We start from the raw sequence: 21,605 nt of genomic DNA on the forward strand, positions 1-21,605 counted from the left end.
GCCTCTGGGTGCCGGTATTTGGCCCCTGCTCTGCCACCTGCTGAGCCAACCTGGGCATGTTACTTGGTCTCACCGAGCCTCAGCTCCCTCATCTGTAAAATGAGGATGGCCGTGCCCTCACCTCAAGGGCTGCTTGAACGTCAGATGAAGCCGCGTGAGGCCAGGAAGCACACGGTGCGTGGTAAACAGCTCTTGTCCTACCACTTGGGAAACTTGCAAGCAACACTGAGTGGAAAGGACCTCAGAGATGACCCAGTTCAGAAGCAAGAAGGGCGAGTAACTCGTCCGCAGCGCTCGCGGGGAGCCAGGACCAGGGCAGACGCGGGAAATACTGCCCTCGGGCGGCCGCGCTGTGCTGAAAAGGGAACACAGGACACCCCACAGGCAGCCTCGGTGCCACTTCGGGGTCTCTCTGTCCCACCACGGGGTGCGCTGTCCGGACCGCGGCCTGGGGACGTTCTTCCGCCACTAGAGGGCGGCCCAAGCCCCGAGCCCGCGGCCCCGGGAGGATAGGATGCCCGTGGCGTGGACCCGCGCAGCACAGCCTCCCCGCGCGGCCTCTCCAGCCGAAAGAGCCGGCGCCGCCACGTGGAGGTGTAGGTCCGGCCTGGCGCGGACACCTTCGTGAGTGGGCCCGGCAGGAAGAAGAGTGTGGTGCTATAGGACCTTGTAACTCAAGCTAAGTTTTGAGTTTTTCTTTTTTTGTGTAGTTCTGTTTTTTGTTTTTGAGACAGGGTCTCCCTCTGTCGCTCAAGGCTGCAGTGCACTGGCGCAATCTCAGCTCATTGCAACCTCCACCTCCCGGGCTCAAGCAATCCTCCTACCTCAGCCTCCTGAGTAGCTGGGATTACAGTTGTCCATGCCCAGCTGATTTTTTTTTTTTGACCATTTAATATGAAAAGCATTTAGATTCTCTGTTTATAGAATATCCCAGTTAGCCACTATTCCACCTAACTATGGGAATCAGGACAAATCCTGAGAATAAATTTACAAACAAGAGAGTCTTCAGGCAGGGGGTGGTGTCTCACACCTGTAATCCCAGCACTTTGGGAGGCCGAGGTGGGTGGATCACCTGAGCTCGACCAGCCTGGGCAACATGGCAAAACCCTGTCTCTACAAAAAATACAGAAATTAGCCAGGTGTGGTGGCCTGTAGTCCCAGCTACTCAAGCAGCTGAGGTGGGAGGATCACTTGAGCCCCAGAGATGGAGGTGGAGGTTGCAGTGAGCAAGGTGACACTACTGTACTCCAGCCAGCTTGGGTACAGAGCAAGACCCTGTCTCAAAAAAAAAAAAAAAAAAAAAAAAAAAGAGGTTCTTCTTCAAGTGGTGGGTGCTGTGTGTGCAGGTCTAGGGTGGGATGGGGGCTGAGAGAAGCCAGTAGGAACAACACACACAGGCACCAGGGTGGTCCTATCACAAGGTGACATAAGCTGGTCCTGGGTGGAGGCCCGGGTTTGGTCACAGCTCAGTTTCCCGCAATGTGGACAACGACTTGGTTGTCCAAGCCTCGTTCCCAGGGCTGAGACAATCACGACAGCAGCCTCGAGGGTGTGAACCGGAAGAGGAGCCGAGGCCACATGGGAGGACCGGAGGGAGGGGTGGGATTTTGGAGCTGCTGGAAAGGTGAGCCCGGACCTGGTGCATGGACGTGCTCTGTTTACAGCATAGGGAGCTTGCTGGGGAGCCGGGGGAGAGGGCCGAGCCAATGCAAATGTCCAGTCCTACAGGGAAACAGAGACACATAGGGGAGCGGGGCCCCAGGAGAGCTTGCAGAGTGCCCACAAGGCCGAAGCACCATAAGCACCATGCAGATGGATAAATGGCCCGGAGCTGAAACCTGCCCCTTAACAGAGGCCCTGACCCAGAGGAGGCCCTGACAGCTGGCTAGGCTTCAGAGACGCAGTGACAGGGCCGGGGAGGTGTCCAGTGCCCAGAGACAGAGGAGAAGGGGTTTGAAGCACAGAGACAGAGGGCCGGCCATTCACTTGGGCCACCATGAGGGTGGGGGTCACGGGGGAAGTTGAGCCATGAGCCCCTGGAGAACCAGTCATGAAAGGCCAGTTTAACCATATTTGATGAGCAAGGGGGACCCCAGGATTATCCTGAATGGGGTTCCATTCTGTATTCTGAATCCAGGCCAGTGGAGTCGGGCATCCAGGGATCAGGCCTGAGGAGGGAGCCCTAGGAAGCAGCCCTGCCAGTCCTGTCTCTGGAAAATGGCCGAAGCATGCTGGATGCTGGGCCCTGTCTGACCCCTCTCACCGGGAACCTTGGGGGCCAGATCACACTCCCAGACGGTGGGAAAGCCAGGCGGAGGGACAGGCCTGCTGGGGTGGGCTGCGTGGCGGTGCAGATAACAGGCGCCAGCTGAAGCCACCAGGGACAGGGCCTCAGGCCTTGCTCTTGGGCAAGCTATAGCCAAATGATATGTTGGTGAATGCAACCGGATGATTCCCCGGGTATTGACAAGACTCCCAAGTGTGTGCCTGGCTCCGCAGAGCTAATGGAGAGCAGGCATTCAGCCGTCTGCGGAGCAGAGCTCTGCCTATGGGGCCATTTGTCATGCAGCTGCCAGAGAGGAAGCTGGGGCCAGGGCCTGGCTGTGGCCCCTGTGTCTCTCCCACACTCTCAGATCTTCCGTGCAAGGTTTTCACTGGAAAGAAGGGTTTTGCAGAGTCAAACAGGAGGAAGACGACCCAGTGCCCGCGGGGCTGGTCCCACAGCCTTGCACGGGGTTGGTGGCCCCTTCCTGCCACTCCACTCTCTGCTGGCCCAGAAGCTCAAGGCCATTCCCTGGCAGTCTTTGCTGGATGGGCCACGAGAGCTGCTAATAAGGTTGCTTGTTCAGGGCAGGGTGGGGAGGGCACTGGCACCAGTGGAGCCCCACAGGCCGACACCAATTTGATTCAGTTGTGTGTAATTCAAATGCTTAAAGAGGAGATTTGCTTTTTCCAGCATGGGAACTCCTGCCTTCATCCCAGGCTAGCCGGCACCCAGAACCCATCCCAGACCCTGTACGTAGCCCCCAGATCACTAGCTCTGTCTGCTGTCACCTGCCGGAGGGGTCTGTGGGTGGCAGAATGCCAGGAAGCACGTCCCCTACCAGGCCTCCACCCACCCTTACTTCCTGGCTGCAGGAGAAACCTGCAAGCAGCCTGGACCTCTGCGCCCTGCCACGGCCACCTCGACCCTCACCTGATGCTGTGGCTCCCTCTCCAGAGCCCCCCACCCCACCCCACACTCTTTCTGGCCACCTGACCCTACACAGTCAACAACCTCCTCGAGACACTAGTTTCCTAATGGGAGGGAAATTCACCAGTGCAGGAGGGACGGCGAGGAGCTAAAGAGAGGAAAGGAAAAGTGGAAAGAGAGAAAAAGGCGTGTGGAGAGGGTGCAACACGAGGTGGAAGGAGAGAGCCCAGCGCTGGGGGTGGGCGCTGGTGGGCAGCAGGGCAAAGTCCTGCCAGTCGAACTCAGCCCAAAGACCACAGATGGTCGGCAGTGACCGATACCTTCCACCGGGCTTAGCTCACTGCTCATCTTCCTCCACTGCCTCTGCCCATGTTAGGGGGGTCTAGTGGGCCACAGTCAGTGCCACGTGAGGAGAAGAAAAAGGGGTGAAGCCCAGGAGGCTCTCTAGTGGGATAGCCCGGCCGATACGCCAGGCTTGGCCATGCGAGGTGAGCTGTCGCAGGATGGGCTCGGTTACGGCCAGGTGTGCAAGCGGACATGCGGGTGGGCGTGAGGGTGAACACACAGGTGGAAGTGGGCTCAGGCTCTGCCTGCCTCCGTGGCACCTCAAGTGAGCTGTGAGAAACTTCTGGAAAGGAGGTCTTACCTTTCGAGAGGAATGCTTTCCGGAACCCTCCAGGTCTCCGTCCAGGAGCGGCATGGCGAAGGAGCTCAGGTCCTAGGGTGGACAGAGAGCACGTGGTCAGTGACAGTGGCCCTCGGGCCCAGGGGCTGCATGGAACTCTACGTGGGTGTCACCTCCCCCTTCCTGAGACCTTATCCTTCAAATCCACCATGAAGAAGGGATGTGGACGTGTTTGCTACACCCAGCCCCCAAAGCCCCTGACCACCATGCACATCCGCTTCCAGAACGTGCAGTCAAACTTCCAGGAGCAGCCATGACCTCCCAACACCCCAGGGAAGGAGGAAAGAAGAAATGGCTGGGACTAAAGGAGTCAGGAAGGCAGGCAGAAAGGGTGGAGGGAGGAGAGCCCGTCTCAGGCTATTCTGCTGATGGACATGATTTTACCCCACAGCACGGAACATGGGTCCAGGGACATGTGTCTGCCTAGGAAGATGATGGGACAGGGATGGGGAGGGTGACACTGGGGTGGCGGCTGAGGCAAAACTATTAGCAGAGTCTAATGACATCGTGGCCAAAACAGAGTCTAAAATAGATTTGGGGAAAGTAGCTCACCACACACTTACTGTGTCTGAAACAGCCCTGCCCCTTCTTCCTCTTGAATCTTGCCTCCACACCAGGCAGAATCCTGCCCAGTCATCCTCAAATCGGGCACAGCTGCATCCCTAACCTTTCTTTTTCATTTTAAAGTTTTTAGTTGTGGTAAAATACACATAACATAAAATTTGCCATCTCAACCATTTTAAGTGTGCGGTTTGGTGGCATGAAGCACATTGACACTGCTGTGTAGCCGTCACCACTGTCATCTCTAGAACCTTTCCATCTTCTCAAACCAAAACGCTGTTCCCATCAAACACTAACTCCCCCTCCCCCTCCCCCTAGTGCTTGGCAACCACCCTCCTATCTCTTTGAATCTGACCACTCTAGGTACCTCATATAAGTAGCATCAGGCAGTATTTGTGACTGTCTGACTCCACTTAGCATAATGTCTTCAAGGCTCCTCCAGGTGGTAGTGTGTGCCACAGTTCCCTTCCTTTTGAAGGCTGAATAATATTCCATTGTATGAGTAGACCACATTCCGCTTACGCATTCATCAGTTGATGGACATTTGGGTTGCTTCTACCTTCTGACTATTGTGAATAACGCTGCTATGAGTGTTATGGTATGAATTGTGTCTCCCTTCCCACCAAAAAAAATCTATATGTTGAAGTCCTGCCCCCCAGGACCTCAGAATGTGACTGTATTTGGAGATAGGGTCTTTAAGCAGGCAATTAATTTAAAATGAGGTCATTAAGGTGGGCCCTAGTCCAATATGACTGGTGTCCTTCAAGGAAGAGATTAGGACACAGGCACCTACAAGACAGAGACCACACATAGAGACACAGGGAGAAGACAGCTACCAACCCAAAGAGAGGGGCCCCAGAAAAACCAACCCTGCTGATATTTTGATCTTAGACTTCTAGCCTCCAGAATCATGAGAAAACATATTTCTGTTGTTTAAGCCACCCCACTTAATCTGTAGTGCTTTGCTATGGCAGCCTAGCAAACCAATATAATAGGTGTACGAATATCTCTTCAGGACCCTGCTTTCAATTCTTTCCAGTTATCCCCAGAAGTGGAACTGCTGGACATCAGGTCATCCTACTGTCAATTTTTTGAGGAGCCACTAAACTGTTTTCTGCAGCAGCCACCCCATTTTACTTTCCCACCCACAGTACACAGGGTTTCAATTTCTCCACATCCTCATCAACACTTGTTATCTTTGGTCTTTGTTTTCTGTGACAGCCATCTTAAGTGGGCGTGAGCTGGTATCTCATTGTGGTTTTGATTTGCATTTCTTGGATAATTAGTGATGTTGAATATCTTTTCATCTGCTTATCGGCCACTTGTCTATCATCTTTGGAGAAATGTCTATTCAGGCCATTTGTCTGACTTGTTTGGAGAAATGTCCATTCAGGCCATTTGTCTATCTTGTTTGGAGAAATGTCTATTCAACTCCTTTGCCCATTTTTTAATTGGGTTGATTGTGGTTGAATTGTTTATATATTCTGGTTATTAACCCCTTATCAGATACATGACTTGCAAATATTTTCCTCCATTCTGTGGGTTGCCTTTTTACTCTGCTGTGTCCTTTGATGTACAGAAGTCTTTGATTTATCTAATTTGCCTTTTGTTGCCTGTGCTTTTGGTGTTGTATTCAAGAAATCACTGCCAAATTCAGTGTCATGAAGCTTTTCCCGTATGTTTTCTTCTAAGAGTTTTATATTTTATGGTTTTAGCTCTTATATTTAGGTCTTTGACCTATGTAAATTTTTGTATATGGTATAAACGTAAGGGTGCAATTTCATTCTTTTACATGTAGATAGCCAGTTTTCCCAGCACTATTTGTTGAAAAGATGGTCCTTTCCCAGTTGAATAGTCTTGGCATGACTGTGGAACGTCATTTGACTTTATCTCTGAGAGTTTATTTCTGGGCTCTCCATTCCATTCCATTGGTCTATATGTCTGTATTTTATGGTAGTATTACACTGTTTTGATTATTGTGGCCTTATAGTAAGTTTAAAATTGGGAAATGTGAGACCTCCAACTTTGTTCTTCTTTTTTTCAAGACTATTTTCCCTATTTAGGGTCCCTTAAGATTCCACATGAATTTTAGGATAGACTAATTGTTCTGTTTTTGGAAAAAAATGCCACTGGGATTTTGATAGGGATTGCACTGAATCTATAGACCACTTTGGGTAGTCCTGACCTCTTAACAATATCGCCTCCCAATCCATAAACATAGGATGTGTTTTCATTTATTTGCGTGTCTTCTTTCATTTCCACCTTTCATTTCCTTCTGTAGTGTTCTGTGCACTTAACCTTTCTTTAACCCATTCCCTTCTCTCCACGTCCTTGCCCTGGGGGTCCAGGCCTACACCCACTCTCACCCAGTTCCCTCTTGGGCCACCTAATTATTGTCCAAATTGTTCAGCCTTCCCTGTTTGGATCTGTGCTCCAAGTCTCTGCTTAAAGAGCAACCCCTGAAAGGGTGAGCCTCATCACGTCAGCCCCCTGCTAAGGCCCCAGCCACTCGTACCGTCACCTCAGCAATGGCTTCCAGGCCTGGCTGACTGAGACACGCCAGTGAGATCTCAGATGTGCAGATTCCAGACTCAGCCTTTCTGGTGGTGTTTATCTCCAAAGTTCTCAGCCCTGGCTGCACACTGACATCACCTGGGGAGCATGGGTAGAGTGCACTGGCCTGCGGTACAGCGAGGGCATTTGGAAATTCCACCACAGACCAGATGGAGAGCTGCGTGCCTCCCAAGGAGGAGTCTCAGGAGTCTCAGACACAGTCAGGAGCTCCCAGCCGGCCCTGCAGGCTGCAACCCAAGCCCCATAGATGAACTGACCTCCGCAGCCTTATTTCTGATGTTCTCTGTTCCGGTCTCCTCCTTTCAGCAACAGCCCAGGCAGAGGGTTTGTCATTTTCCAAACACAGCTATGCATCCATGGACATCCCACCTGGAATGCTGTCTTAACTCCTCAGACACTTCTGTTCATGGCTACCATCCACCCCTCCTGTGAACTGCTCTCATTTTGCTTCAGCCACTCAGGGACAGCTCCAGGGTCCCATCCCCAGCCCCCAGCATGAAGCCCGGCCCATAGCAATGCAGGAATCACCCTGGTGCCATTCACCAAACACCCCAAGCCCTTTCCTTCCTCTGAGCTCTCTTTCCTTCCTCTTGCTCTTCCTGCTCCGTGTCCCCAAATCCTGGCTCACAGAGTAAACTCCTATGTGTCCTGCAAAGCCCAAGTCAAACACACTCTCTGGCTGAGAGTCACCCTCAGACAGAATTAATTATCTCTTATTAATTATCCTAGACTGTGTCCCACAGTACTTTAGATACACCTTTATTACCAGACTGATAATCCCGTATTATACTCATCTATCAGTTTATTTCTCTAACTAGACTTTGAATCCATCCCTGGCAAGAGGAAAGCTACCCACCTCTCTATTCTTGGCCTCATACTGTACCCGGCAGGCAGCAGGTTCCAGATGTGTTTGAATTAACTCCCCGACCAAGCACCCTCTTGCGCCTGCAGCAAGCATGGGGCCGCAGAGTCTGTGCCGCTGGGCCAGTGAACCATCAGGCCACACGCAGTTGCAATTCACTAGGAAGTGACGAGGGACCAGGGTGGGTCTCTTATCGCCCATTTTAATGAGCACATTCCTCTCTGGTTTCAAATTCTCATTACCCTCTAACATTTGTTCAGCACCAGCAGTTTCCACATGCAGAAGCTTTTTCACAAATCCTCACTTGCTCCTCATGCAACCCTAAGCAGCATCCTGCTCTAACAACTGAGGCCGAGGAGGTTCAAAGGGACTCACGTCAAGATGGTGTAAAAGAGCTGAGGGCCGGATGTGAGGCCTGCTGCTAGCTCAGGCTGCCCGTGGACCCCAGGCGGCTGCCCGGAGTGGTGGAGGCAGGTCCCACGCAGGTGTCTCGGGCTGGAGTGAGTATGAAAGCATCAAGTCAAGCCCAACATCGTGGCCTGCTGCGTGGCTGCTGGACTCAGGTGTGTGTGCCTGCCTGGTCATGCAGCCCAACAGGGAAGTCCCCTGGCACAGATGGCAGGCTTTGCTGGAAGGCTCCCCACCCCCAATCCCACCTCCCAGCAAGTCCCAGTATTCTAATCTTGGCTCTCATCTCCAGAGCTCACCAGGAAACATCACGCATCTTGGGGCCGGTGTGGGAAAATCTCTAACTGCAACTATGGCAACTAGAGTCTTGGCTTGTAGAATACTTAGGACCTGGTGTCTCGGGTGACATGCCAGAAGGCCCAGGCTCCTGGATGTGCCCCATTCCCGTGATTTCTAAATTTAAAACTCCTGCCAGAGCTTTGGGCCTTCCCCACCACTGGTCTCTACTCCCAGTCCAGTCCCTCACTTCCTCTTCCCGTCTGCCGGCCACTCAGGCCCTCACAGGACTGGGAGGACATTTAGGGGGCAACGCTGAGGCACCAAGAGATGCTGAAGCCCTGATTTCCGCCAAGAGACAGCTTTAGCACTCTGATTTTCATCCGCTGCACAAAATGTAAGTCAGACCTTGACCACATGTGTTGGAGATAAAAAGGTGAATTTTCAGGATTTGGACTGATAAAGTCACCTGTCAGAAAAGCATCAGGACCAAAGAGAAAAGCCCTAAATCTGAGAGAATTCCTGAGATGTAAGCTGACCTTAAAAGCAACTCATTCATCCATCTCGCTGCCTTAGAAATCCAGGCAAAAGCCAAAAGTCTATCACAAAAAAAGTGAAGTATTAACGACAGAGCCAACATTAATCTGACATTAGTATGTCCTTCTGAAATCTCCCAACTGTTGCCTCATTTGGTCCTTACAGCAACCCACACAAGTAGGAAAGACAAGTGGTATCATCCCCGACTATAGATGAAGATACTGAGGGTCAGAGAGGTTAAGTCATTTGCCCAATGCCAGAGAATCAGACAGTAGCAAGCATGTCCTGTAACCAGGTCCACCTGCTCCTAGCTCAGAACTCTTTCTATGAAACTTTACCACCTCCTTGGAGTGGTTCAGTTCCAGTAATAGAAAAACAATTTGGTATCAGAGGCTATAAAAAGAGAGCTTTTCTTCCTAAAACAAGTATCCTTGGCACAGTGTGACCTCAGGGGAAGGAAGGAAGGATACATAAGGATTTGTATAGTCCTGTGATTCATTCCCCAGGCAACTTACCATACTAACTTTCTCTTCAAGTTCTTCTTAACTAAAAGTAACTCAAGCTGGTGTTGCAAGGAACAGGAAAGTCTAAAAAATCCCACCACCAAATGCAATCACTTCACATTCTTGCACTATCCACATTTGGAGTCACATACAGCTCCTCCTGCCCCCGGCCCGCTACTTATCCCAATATTTCCCCATAGGATAATAGACTTTCTAATGTTTGCAATCAACTAATTTGTGTATTCTTGAAGGATGGGGGCAGTTTTACTCACATCTTAGCCCTGACAGCAGGTGCTAAGTGTATATCGATCAGATGCAGTTCCGACCTTCCAGCGTTTCTGATGTTTTGTCTTACAGAGCTCCTTTGTTGATGCAGCTGGGATACCCCAGAAAGAAGACAGACAAGAGTGCAAATACAGGACAAATAGAAAGGCTGCCAGTAGCAGGGGCCCACGATGGCCCCCACCTCAGGGCAAACTCGAGGTTTACAATATCAGGGTCACGATACAACATTCCTGTTTGATTCCAACCGAGGAAGCAACACATCGAGAATGATTTGCATTCTCCGCTCCTGCTGAGCGGACCCCAGCACAGAGAGCACCATCTGGAGCTGCTGGGCCTTGCGTCCGCCGAGGCCAGGGCCCCTCCCGGCCATATTCAAGCCCCCGTGTCCCTCAGGCCCACAAGAACACAGCCTGCAGCAGGGAGGGAGCCGGGGGCTGAGCCGGAGCCCCAGCTCTGTGATCTGCGATCTGGGGAATCTTGGACATATCCGGACTTCAGTTTTTCATCTGTCAAATGAGAGGGTTGAACTAGAGAACCTGTGAAGATGCCTTGTAGCTCGCACGTTCTCTGTTTTTACCCACTGAAGCGGACAACAATAGGCGAGATCAGGAACATTGTAAAGGACTCCCATTAGACTCAGAATAAGATGCATGTTCTCATCTCCTATCTTCATCATCAAAATAATTTCCTCCTACTCTCAAACGACCAAAGACTCTCCACTGCTCTCAGAGCCACAGGGTGTTTGGACGGAGTCTCGGGGCGTGCACCGCCGGGGAAGGAAGGAGCTTCCTCTGCCTTCACAACGCTATCTAGGTGAGACGGCCAGGACCCAGCAGCATTTCTGCCTTTCCATCTTAACCTGTGTCTTGATACGCTTCTTAGGTTCTAACCCTTAAGGTTTCTCAACTGATTGTTCAGCTCCCTCAATCCTAAGGGCCTGGGCTGTGGGATCCAGCACCAGGCGGGTTCTATCAGACGCCCAGTGACCCCGGGAAAGCTGCGTGTGGCATCTCCAGCTACAGGCCCGAGGCCCGCGGTTCCCACCTGGACCCCGTCCTGCCCACCTTGCCTGCCCTCAGTCACTGCCCGGGGAGTGGCTCATAGGTTCTGACCACGGCTGAGTGGTGACTGTGGCCTGGATCTCGCCCCAAGTGGTGACGGCCTTGGCAGGCCCCTCTGCTGGGAGGCACGGGGGAGGTGCCTCTGGACAGGCCGGCCTTGCGCAATCCCCAAAACCACCAAACGGGCAATTCTTGGTACTGATGGGCGGCAGGAGGTGACCAGAGCCAGGTCAATTGGAGCCTTTGAAAAACATTCATGTTATATAACCACTCTCAGAAAAATAAGGAACAAATATTGAATCACTGGAACCAGGCAGCAGGGGAGGGCCAGTGGCCAAATCCGGGAAGGCCTAAGCTCCACTCTCAGAGAAGTTCCAGAGCCATTTACTTTCCACAGAGGACACCGTAGTTTCTCACTACAGCCTAAGCAACTTCCTGATGTCAAAAGAAACATCCAACTGTTTTTCACTCCTATGGCCACCCTTCCTCCCTGGCTCCCTCACCTGGTGGTCCTGGTTCCCACAACCGCCTCGGGGCTCCCCTTCCCCGCCCCCCAAGGCCAAGGACCCTGGCCTGGCAGCCTGAGCCTCCCCTGGCTTTGAGGAAGTCCCCTGCTCCACCGTATTCCCAGTTCCTCGTCTGGCCCGAGGCCACCCGGGGCTTCCCTAGCTCCATATCAGCACCAGACATGAAACTCTTTTTGCTCAAAACCAAGTAGCTGCAGAATCCCTGGCCCGGAGTGCCCAGGAGACCTCGACCCTCCCCGCAGTTCTGCATTCACGTCTTATGTGGAGCACGCCCTTTAAAATCCAGGAACCTCCACTTTCCAGTGTGTAAAAGGAGGCCATCATCCTTCTTATCACGGGCTGGTGGGAAACGAGACCAGAGGACGTCATCAAAGGCCCTTCCCGCGGTGTGAGCCCCCGTGGCACTGGGCATGGCGAGGGCCGCTGGCCGAGGGCACACTGGGGCCTGATGATGAAGGCTGTGGGGAGCAACAAAGGCATCATCACCAGGGCAGCCAGGCCCCTCATGCGGCTCCCGCGGAAGCCAGGGCAGTTGCTCACACTCAACCAAGGCCTGAGATCGGGTTTCAGAGGCTTCTGCAAAGACACTGGCTGTCCCCCTTATAATTAGAGAGCTGTCTTTATCCCGTTCCCAAGGTGAAAGCCAAGATGATTCATGACTTGTGCACGGCAGTTCTAAAGAGGATCACAGCATGGCCGCTGCCAGAGTCTCCGGCTCTGTCCTCGTGCAAAGGGCAGCCGAGCCTTTCCTTGCCCACTCCGGGCAGCCTTTACTTGACCAGAGCTCCATGGAAGCTTGGAGGGACCCCACTGGCCTCCTCACGTTGTGGTGGAGGATGCTCTGCAGGGGCCAACAGTGCCTCTTCTGACCAGCTGGGGGTGGCCATCCTGACCGTCCTGACCTCAGGGGCTTGTGCTGTGGGATTCCTGAGAGCCCCTTCCTAGTTCAGGGCCCCAGGGCAGCCTCTTACAGGCAGCTGCTCCCAGGCCAGGTTGAGTCCAGCCTCTGCTCATCACACATGCTTGTCTTCTTCCAGCCTGTCTGAGATCCCCCAGAAGGAGGGAGAGTGGGGGGCAGGGGCAGCACCTAGAGGGACAGGTTGGGTGGAGGCTACAGGAGTCTGGGTCAGCTCCCAGTTCATGAGGAAGGAGGCAAGTACCTGGGAGGCCCCGGGACATGCAGGTTGGGGGGCGCATTTGCATGGTCTGTGCAGCCGTCTCCTCGAGGACCAGCAGCAGGCAGCCTCCCAGCTCCCTTCCAAGGGTGTGGCCTGGGCTGCAGGTTGCCGCCTCCATCCGGAGTAGCTGCGGTCTTCACAGGTGGCACTGCGGGCCCCAGCCAGGGGGCAGGGGAGGGGATGTTATGGGACAGGGAGCGCTGGGCTCCACTGACCACATCCCATCGTGGAGTCAGTAACGGTTAATTTGATGTGTCAGCCTGGCGAGGCCATAGCACCCACTGATTCAATCAAATACCAAGCAGGTGGCTGCCGTGGGCGTATTTGCAGACGTGGATGACATCTACAGTCAGTGACTTGAAGTGAAGCAGATCATGCTGAATGATGTGGGTGGGCCTCCCCCAATCCGCAGCAGGCCTGAAGAGGGAAAACAGAGGGTTCTGGAAGGGGAAATTCTGCTTCATGATTGCAGCATCGACTGCCTGAGCTTCTAGTCCGTCTGCCCAGTGGATTCGGGACTTTCCAGTTCCGACCAACGCATGAGTCAATTCTTTCAAACAAATCTCATATATATATATATATATATATATATATATATATATATATATATCACGATAATATGTATATGTAATCATGTTATATACATTATATAGAGTTAATATATTATGTGATTATATCTCAATATACATATTAAGAAAAATATGTATATTAAGGAGATATAATCACATAATATATTAACTTAATATATTTTCTTAGTATACATATATTAAGAAAAATAGGAGATCTATATGCTTGGATCTCTAGTCTTGGTTCTCCTTCTCTGCAGACCCCTCCTAACACAGAGCCCTAGGCCCCCTCACCCGAGCTGGTGGGGACAGACATGGGGAGAGTCCAGGGTAAAAGCAGGCCGCTGTTTGGAAGCTCTCAGCCTTCGCTGCATAGACGGATGGGTCTGCTCAGTCATCGGGTGGGCTCTCCGCCCACACTGTGGCTCTCTGTCCACACTATGGAACCCTCACTTTGCCCAGGGCCCAGTGAGACACCCACAGGCCCCAGCTGGACGAGAGGACAAAGACGGATGTGAAGGGCCGTTGTCCTGGCAGTGCTTAGAGAACAACAGGAAATGGCCAAATGTCCTCCTTTGACTGTCAGGGAACATTCACAGTACGTGAAGGGCAATCACAGGTTTAGAAAAGCACCACGATCACCTCCTAGCCTCGTCTCTGAGCCTTGGCAGCAGAGTGGGGCAATCCTCTTGCCTTCGCACGCTGGGTAACAGTCGTGCAAGTGTCTGTCATGGCATCTTGTCACCCTGTCCTGTCACTGAGGGCCTGTCTCCTGCCACACCCAGTTGGAGCTCGGCAAGGACCGCGTCTTTTTCACCCCTGAGTCACCGGCTCCTCCCAGGGCTGGATTCCATGAGCCTCTGTCCTTCCCCTTCGCAGAGCTGACACGGGGAGAGTGGTCATAAGCTGGGGCGTAAATGACTGAGGACGGCCCGGGGGCCAGTAAACACCAAGACCTCGGGATAAGGGAATGACATCCTGATGCGCCACCTCCAGCCCCTGTACGGAGGGAACAGCCCTTCATTTCTAGGACTGTCTTCAGCTCTGACATTATGATTCTACCAAGACAGGGTGTGAAAAGGCCAGCTCTGGGGTTCTGGGGAGGTTTTATTGGCTCGCAAATAAAATGCCAAACCACCAGCCAATACCAGCATAGAGCCCTCCGTGGGCACTACCGACTCAAGGGAAAGGCCCCGAGGCCCCACACCCGGCCCGGCCAGCCAGCTGCAGACACACCCTCCAGTCATCGGCCACCCAGACTTCAGAGAGGAAAAAACCAGCCACGAGGTGAAAGTGAGATGGCCCCGGCCTGACCTCTGCTGCAGAGGCCCAAATGGCCCTGGTCAGATCTGACGCTTCCCCCACAGTCAGCTTCTTGCCACCCCCCCCACCCCCCACCGCCGCCTGGTGCTCCCCACCGGGTACACACCCAGCGGTTTTGGTTAGTGCTTGAAGACAAACTGCAGGAGGGACACCATGAACTACAATAAAATTGGGCACCCTGGGGACATTTTTGTAAGGTCACCGAGTTGCTGGCTGGCTCTGAGACACACCCTCCTCTACGTAGAGGACCTTGTGTGAGAGAGGACACCTCTGAACGAGGGCTCAGAGACCTCATTTCTGCTCCCAAACAGCTACCCAAGATGTGGCTTTGGGCTTTGGCCCAGAGCTGAGGCCTGCAAAGGCTGCCACCTCAGTGCTTCCAGAATCTCAACTGTCCATATTTACAGAGCCATACATCAAAAGATTCTTCCCCAACACTTTCTACGGGTACCCAAGGACTCCTTCTACTCCATCTTGTTTCACCCACCTGCTCTGTGCCAGGCACATTATAGATCAAAAGGTACAGGGAGTTCAGAGGAAGGAGGAAATACCATGGACTTAAAAAGCAAGCCAGGGCTTCCCAAGCCAAGCATAGTGAATAGAGGAGCTTTCATTTGTCTCCTCACTTCCATCCCGGGGTGAGCCGGCCACTCCCGCAGCATCTGGCCACGGCTCTTCACACTGACAGTCCCAACTTGTCAGTGGATTATGAAATCAATTTAGTGGATTGCACAACCACCAAAAACTGAATTACAATAAGAATGTATCTCATGGTTGCATGAAGCCTGTGTCTCAATGATTCACACACACATAGAATAAAATGTACTTTGTTTGTTTGTTTGTTTTTTCCCCTGAGACAGAGTCTTGCTCTGTCATCCAGGCTGGAATGCAATGGCACAATCTCGGCTCACTGCAACCTCCGCCTCCTGGGTTCAAGTGATTCTCCTGCCTCAGCCTCTGAGTAGCTGAGATTACAGGCGCCCGCCACCACGCCTGGCTAATTTTTGTATATTTAGTAGAGATGGGGTTTCACCATGTTGGCCAGGCTGGTCTCAAACTCCTGACCTCATGATCCACCTACTTTGGCCTCCCAAAGTGTTGTGATTAGAGGTGTGAGCTACCGTGTCCGGCCTGTTTTTTTGTTTGTTCGTTTTTTGTTTTTTGAGATGGAGTCTCACTCTGTCGCCCAGGCTGGAGTGTAGTAGCGCAATCTTGGCTCACTTCAACCTCCGCCTCCCGGGTTCAAGCGATTCTCATGCCTCAGTCTCCCAAGTAGCTGGGATTACAGGTGTGAGCCACCACGCCCGGCTAATTTTTCTATTTTTAGTAGAGATGGCGTTTTCCCATGTTGTCCAGGCTGGTCTTGAACTCCTGGGCTCAAGGGATATACCTGCCTTGGCCTCCCAGAGTGTTGAGATTACAGGCATGAGCCGCTGTACCCAGCCTGAATAAAATGTACTTCCTATTGTGTTGTGGGTGAAAAAGTCTGAAAAATTCTGCATTAGATAAGCTTTGAAATCATGCAGGTAGATTTCAGGGAACAGAGAAGAGCTGACCTTCTGTCCCCGAGGTGTCACCAGAAGTGTGGAGCAAGGGGTACCATCTGTCCTCCTCTCCTGGCTGAAGCCCTCTGACCCCTCTCCGTACTTTATGCCCAGAAATACACATGGAGTTAAGAACACAGAACATCACATCTCTTTATTACCACAAGGGTGTGGTGATTCCCTCCCTCCTCACCTCTCACCACCACCCCCATCTGCTCCTCCCCTGGCCCTTTGACATGCAGGGTAGCTTGGCCTCATCCCCAGGCCACCGCTAGACCCAGAACAGCAATTACACCTTTGGGGACAACCACCAGCCCCAGCCCCCTGCCGAGCGGTGCCTGTCAGCTTCTGTTCCCAACTGGCCCGGGCCTGCTGCGGGTGCCCTCACCTCTAGCGCCTAAACCCAGAGAACTGGGCAGTCACAGGGTGTTAGGATGGAAATGGCCTCAGAAATTCTCCAAGGCCCTTCTGTTACAGGTGGGGTAACAGATGTCCAGAGATTCAAGCAAGTTGCTCAGAGCCACATGGTAGAGCCGTGACTCAGCCAGAACCAAATCCTGGTCTTGCAACTTCTAACCAAGGTCCCTTTTGATCATGTCATGCTCTTATAGCTGCTTCTGACTTTCTAGCTTGTGTTTCCACTACATAAGCTGGTAACAGTAACTCTTACAGGATTGCAACGGGCTGGCCATCCCTCGCACGGGCCTGGCTATACTGGGCACATAGCAAATGTTCTAATTCTATGAAGCCACTTGGGTTCTGCGGGCACCTTTGCATCTTGTCTCCAGCGACAGCACAAAGCCCGTGCTCCAACTCCCTTTCTGGTGTCATTTATTGTACATGAATCTGTGACTTCCCCAGAGCCCTTCAGTCTGTGATCCCAGCCACGCAGGCGGCAGCCGCTCCAGGAACTTCCCAGGAACCATGGAACCTGTCGTGTCCTCCAGACTGACGGGCGCGGACACTCTGCATGGAGGGGCTCCAGATGCCACCGGCCAGCATCTAGCATCTAGCCAGCAGCGATGCATAAAGACCAGCCAGGTCAGGAGAAGGTGTCTGCTACTCCCCATTCCAGGCCACACCGCCAGGGCCACGCTGCAGGCAGCTACCAGATAGGACATGAAGGTGCCTGGGAGGTATGCCGCCCCCTCCAGAACCTCACACCGGCCAAAATCCCTCACGGGTGGGCTAACAACACTCACAACAACCACACTGCTAGCTCTTTTAAAATTTTACTTTTTAGTCTTTTTATAAGTTTAATTCTTGTTTAAAAAGATAAATTGAACCTCTACCCCCTCAGTGAGGCAGGCCTGGATCTAGATTTCTGCCTAACCAGCTGTGTCATTTGAAAGTCGCCTCACGGGCCGGGTGCGGTGGCTCATGCCTGTAATCCCAGCACTTTGGGAGGCCGAGGTGGGCGGATCATGAGGTCAGGAGATCGAGACCATCCTGGCTAACATGGTGAAACCCTGTCTCTACTAAAAAATACAAAAAATTAGCCAGGTGTGGTGGCGGGCACCTGTAGTCCAAGCTACTCGGGAGGCTGAGGCAGGAGAATGGCGTGAACCCGGGAGGCGGAGCTTGCAGTGAGCTGAGATCACGCCACTGCACTCCAGCCTGGGCGACAGAGCGAGACTCTGTCTCAAAAAAAAAAAAAAAAAGAAAGTCGCCTCCCATCTCTGGTCGTCAGTTTCCTCCTCTGAGACAGGAGGTGTCTAGACTCAACCCCTCCAGCTCCTCCAAGGCCTTCCCAAAACAAATTCTGTTCCAGGCCATCCCACCTCCCAGCACCGCAATGACACTCCTCCTTCGAACACATCCAGGTGGGCCCCAGGGCCACGCTGGTCACTGCCACCTGGTGGGTACAGCCTGTGTTCAGGCCCCAAGGCATGAGCAGTTCCAGGACAGAGGCAGGACAACCACCAAAGGATGTGATGGCAGCCAGGGCTTGGGTGAGGGAGGGAGGGAAGGGCAGGTGGTGCACAGGGGATTTCTAGGGCGGTGGAACCGCTCTGCATGAGAGTGTAATAGTGGACACACAACATCACACACACGACATCACACATTTGTCAAAACCCACAGAATGTACACCACCAAGAGTGAGCCCTAATGTCAGCTATGGACTTCGGTTAACAATAAGGTATCAACAGAAGCTCAATGGTAACAGAGGTGCCACAGTAATGCCAGACGCAGACAACAGGGGAGATTGGCATGGGGGCTGCAGGGTCAGGGAGGGGCAGATGGGCACCCTCTGAACTTTCCGCTTCAGGTTCTGTAAACCTAAAACTGCTCACAAGTAAAATCCACTAAATTTTTAAAAAGCAATAGCAGCAAATGGCCAGAGATGGCCTCAATTTCATCTGCCAAACAACTGCCCATCACGCCAGGCCTGGACCACCCACCCAGCTCCTCAGAGATGCTGGAGGTCATAGGTTCCCCAGGAAATGGGAACTGGAGAGGTCAATTCTTCCTGTATCCACGGCTCCAGGTCCTTCTAGAACACAGAGAAAGGTGCATGCCATGCTCCCAGGCTCAGGGTCAGAAGATTAGTGGGATCCAGTCTGAGGCTCAGCGCTCAGACCAAGAAGATAAATGAGACCAGAGACACTCAGAGATTAAATACCTTGCTGGGGCTGGGCAGCAAGGAAGCTGGGAGAAGGGTCTGAGAACCCAGGTCCCCATCTCTCAGGCCCAGGCCCTTGGCCCCCAGGCTGGGGCAATGAGGACCAAGTACAGAGGGCTCCAGATGGAGGCCAGGGACCAGCTGCAGGCACCAGGCAGCCTCAGAATGTCTGGAGCTGGGGGACCCCTCACAGGGCTCGCTGGGCAGCTGGTTCATCGGGGAGACTACGTGGTGCAGAAAAGCTTGAGTTTCTTGGTTGGGGACTCAAGGCTGCAAACCACGGCGCTAATGAACCTAAACAAGGGAATTTGCTAGGTTTTCTTATTTTTGGTGTTTTGTTGCCAACAAACTCATTCTGTTCTAGAGGGGCTTGTTATATAAGGAGGAGAGGGAAGAAAACTGCTGAGATGTGAGGCCAAAGTCACCAGAGGAGGAGAGACTTCCAGATCAGCTGCTGCGCCAGCTGGGAGTCAGGTACAAAAAACAGGGGGTTGTTTGCGTCTTTGTTTTTTCAAACAAGAAAAAGCAAAAAGCCTGCATCGCATGTCCTAGGAATGGGGTTAAAAGTCGTCGTCTCTTGGGACAGAGTTTGGACGCCTCTGTGAGCAGGGCCTGGTCACTGAGGTGTCCCTGACTCGTGTCCTGTGTGCAGGATGGAGTCTCCATGCAGCCCAAGCCTCTCTGCAGGGCCTGGTGGCTGCTGAGAGGCAGAAGGAAACCCCTCCCTGAGTGTGGCCTCTGCGTGTGTCACCTACACCTGTCAGAAGGGTTTGGGATCTTTCTTTCTCATGGAGAAAGTGCAGAAGATTCTGGGTCAGGCCCTGTGGGACATCCCTAGAGCCAGAGGACCGTCCCCTTTGTGTAGTTTGTCCCTGGCATTGCCAGTGCTTCTGGTTTCACTCTTGGTTCTCAGCAGTGGATCCTAGAAGCCCCCTGGATCATGAACTTCTGCCCTTTGCACTCATGAGGCCCAGGGACACCTCCCTCTGCTTGTGCAACACGAGGCTGCCACGTCTCAGGTCTTCGTGCCCAAAGTGAGTGGACTCTGACCTTCCAGGATGGCCGAGGGTGCCAACGTTTCCCAAAGATCTGTTTTCAGACTAATCTGGGAGACAGCCTTTGGAGAGGTCCGTGAAGAAGAAAGGGGAACTCCACAGGTGGAGGGGAAACCGAAGCTACCTGAGGGATACTCCCCACGGCCCACCTGGCCCCCTCTTAGTCTGCACTGCCCTATTTTCATGGCTTAAAGGGCAGAATCAAAAGATCACAGTAGGTCAGTTCTCCCCAGGCTATCTGTGTGCCCAGCCTAGAGAAAGGAATGAACATTGAACAGGGACCTGCTGGCTGAAACCTTCAGTGGTTGCTTCCTGCCTGCAGAAGGTGTCGGACTCTGCCTGGCATTCAGTGCACCCCAGGACACAGCCCTGGCCTCAGCCTCTCCTTTCTCCCACACCGCTCTTCTGCAGCAGCCACCTGACCTACACGCTGTCCTGGGACACCCTCTACTCCTCTTTAATCCCCCCGTGCCAGCATTCCTCAAAAAAGGGGGCTCAGGACTCCCACAAGGTTAAAGTTATCATAGACATATATATGATATATATATAAGCAATATGATATATATATATATTTTTTTTTTTTTGAGACAGGGTCTCGCTCTGTTGCTCAGGCTGGAGCGCAGTGGTGTGATCTCAGCTCACTGCAACCTTCACCTCCTGGGTTCAAGTGATTCTCCTGCCTCAGCCTCCAGAGTAGCTGGGATTACAGGTATGTACCACCATGCCCAGCTAATTTTTGTATTTTTAGTAGAGATGGGGTTTCACCATGTTGGCCAGGTTGGTCTCGAACTCCTGACCTCAAGGGATCTGCCTGCCTCAGCCTTCCAAAGTTCTGGGATTATGGATGTGAGCCACTGTGCCTGACCTAGATAAGTGATTTTAAAGGTAATAGCTGGGGAGCCGGAATTCCTTGATTCTGATGATTTGCGATTAAAACACTTTGTATAGGAATTTAAGGCGATCTTTATCATATTGGGGTTCAAGGACAGCCATCAGTAAGAAATTTTCTCCCTTCAAAGGGAGGCTTGTTACAAAATTTGAGCAGCAGTGGCTCACACCATTCCTTCCTACCTCGAGTGTCCTGACCCTTTTTCTCTCACCCATTTATATCCTACTCATTCTTCAAAAACTAGCTGATTCCCACAAATTTACACCAACTTTTCTGAGCAGTCCAGTTGAAAATGATATCCTACTCCATTGCATTTTAATGCCTAAGAATTTAAAATCAGTCACGTATTACCCATTTGCTATTTACATATAAATTGTATCTCTGTATAGATTGTGAGGACTCTGAGAGCAACGGCTATATTATCCAGCTTGTTTTTTTTTTTTTAAGAAGTAAATTCATCCAGCTTGGCCAACATGGTGAAATCCCATCTCTACTAAATATACAAAAATTAGCTGGGCATGGTGGTGGGCGCCTATAGTCCCAGCAACTCAGGAGGCTGAGGCAGGAGAATCATTTGAACCTGGGAGGCAGAGGTTGCAGTGAGTTGAGATCGCGCCACTGCACTCCAGACTGGGCAGCAGTGCGAGACTATGTCTCAAAAAAAAAAAAAAAAAAAGTAAATTAATAGGATTCAAAAGTCAAAACATAACAACCTGTAATTGAAGAGTCATACCCTTGGCCCAGCCATGCCATGTCCCCAGAGGAACCACTTTTAGTTGCGTAGACAGCTAGGGTTGCTTTATGCAAATGCAAATATGAAGGCTGTTCCCTGTCTCTTATCTGTTTTGCTCGTGTCTTACTGCCTCGCCTATCTGGGAGATCTTTCAATATCAGCACGTAGGGATTTGGGGGTATCCACGTCATATGCTTTTGTCTGGAATGCTCTAGTTTAACC

At 52.1% G+C, this 21,605-nt stretch overlaps 1 protein-coding gene across 17 annotated transcripts in view, besides 9 other annotated features; it reads right to left on the reverse strand.

The window, feature by feature from the left end:
- The window catches only part of PRKAG2 (protein kinase AMP-activated non-catalytic subunit gamma 2), a 320,989-nt gene that overhangs the window by 226,504 nt on the left and 72,880 nt on the right, over positions 1–21,605 (reverse strand). For 9 of the 17 annotated variants that reach the window (NM_001407031.1, NM_001407030.1, NM_001407023.1 and 6 more), the window contains exon 2: positions 3,840–3,911. The exons of 1 other annotated variant lie outside the window; for it this stretch is intronic. In NM_001407031.1, the coding sequence (NP_001393960.1) occupies positions 3,840–3,911 (72 nt within the window). Of the gene's footprint in view, positions 1–3,839; positions 3,912–7,869; positions 8,003–8,250; positions 8,371–21,605 lie in introns of those variants that run through there. 7 more of the 17 variants (XM_011516284.2, XM_011516282.2, XM_011516283.2 and 4 more) reach the window with 2 other exon arrangements.
- Positions 256–345: a silencer, noted in NCBI's record as "silent region_18824". NCBI's record gives its function as "represses an Ori minimal core promoter by ATAC-STARR-seq in GM12878 lymphoblastoid cells {active_cell/tissue: GM12878}" and the evidence as "EXISTENCE:reporter gene assay evidence [ECO:0000049][PMID:35858748]".
- Positions 456–555: a silencer, noted in NCBI's record as "silent region_18825". NCBI's record gives its function as "represses an Ori minimal core promoter by ATAC-STARR-seq in GM12878 lymphoblastoid cells {active_cell/tissue: GM12878}" and the evidence as "EXISTENCE:reporter gene assay evidence [ECO:0000049][PMID:35858748]".
- Positions 1,287–2,176: an enhancer, noted in NCBI's record as "H3K4me1 hESC enhancer chr7:151481003-151481892 (GRCh37/hg19 assembly coordinates)". NCBI's record gives its function as "activates a minimal SCP1, AML or CMV promoter by ChIP-STARR-seq in naive H9 embryonic stem cells {active_cell/tissue: H9 hESC(naive)}" and the evidence as "EXISTENCE:reporter gene assay evidence [ECO:0000049][PMID:30033119]".
- Positions 2,177–3,066: an enhancer, noted in NCBI's record as "H3K4me1 hESC enhancer chr7:151481893-151482782 (GRCh37/hg19 assembly coordinates)". NCBI's record gives its function as "activates a minimal SCP1, AML or CMV promoter by ChIP-STARR-seq in naive H9 embryonic stem cells {active_cell/tissue: H9 hESC(naive)}" and the evidence as "EXISTENCE:reporter gene assay evidence [ECO:0000049][PMID:30033119]".
- Positions 7,887–8,388: an enhancer, noted in NCBI's record as "H3K4me1 hESC enhancer chr7:151487603-151488104 (GRCh37/hg19 assembly coordinates)". NCBI's record gives its function as "activates a minimal SCP1, AML or CMV promoter by ChIP-STARR-seq in primed H9 embryonic stem cells {active_cell/tissue: H9 hESC(primed)}" and the evidence as "EXISTENCE:reporter gene assay evidence [ECO:0000049][PMID:30033119]".
- Positions 11,477–12,374: an enhancer, noted in NCBI's record as "H3K4me1 hESC enhancer chr7:151491193-151492090 (GRCh37/hg19 assembly coordinates)". NCBI's record gives its function as "activates a minimal SCP1, AML or CMV promoter by ChIP-STARR-seq in primed H9 embryonic stem cells {active_cell/tissue: H9 hESC(primed)}" and the evidence as "EXISTENCE:reporter gene assay evidence [ECO:0000049][PMID:30033119]".
- Positions 12,919–13,058: an enhancer, noted in NCBI's record as "active region_26870". NCBI's record gives its function as "activates an Ori minimal core promoter by ATAC-STARR-seq in GM12878 lymphoblastoid cells {active_cell/tissue: GM12878}" and the evidence as "EXISTENCE:reporter gene assay evidence [ECO:0000049][PMID:35858748]".
- Positions 13,319–13,901: an enhancer, noted in NCBI's record as "H3K4me1 hESC enhancer chr7:151493035-151493617 (GRCh37/hg19 assembly coordinates)". NCBI's record gives its function as "activates a minimal SCP1, AML or CMV promoter by ChIP-STARR-seq in naive H9 embryonic stem cells {active_cell/tissue: H9 hESC(naive)}" and the evidence as "EXISTENCE:reporter gene assay evidence [ECO:0000049][PMID:30033119]".
- Positions 13,902–14,483: an enhancer, noted in NCBI's record as "H3K4me1 hESC enhancer chr7:151493618-151494199 (GRCh37/hg19 assembly coordinates)". NCBI's record gives its function as "activates a minimal SCP1, AML or CMV promoter by ChIP-STARR-seq in naive H9 embryonic stem cells {active_cell/tissue: H9 hESC(naive)}" and the evidence as "EXISTENCE:reporter gene assay evidence [ECO:0000049][PMID:30033119]".

This window comes from Homo sapiens, chromosome 7, assembly GCF_000001405.40.
Source record: "Homo sapiens chromosome 7, GRCh38.p14 Primary Assembly".
Taxonomy (NCBI): domain Eukaryota; kingdom Metazoa; phylum Chordata; class Mammalia; order Primates; family Hominidae; genus Homo; species Homo sapiens.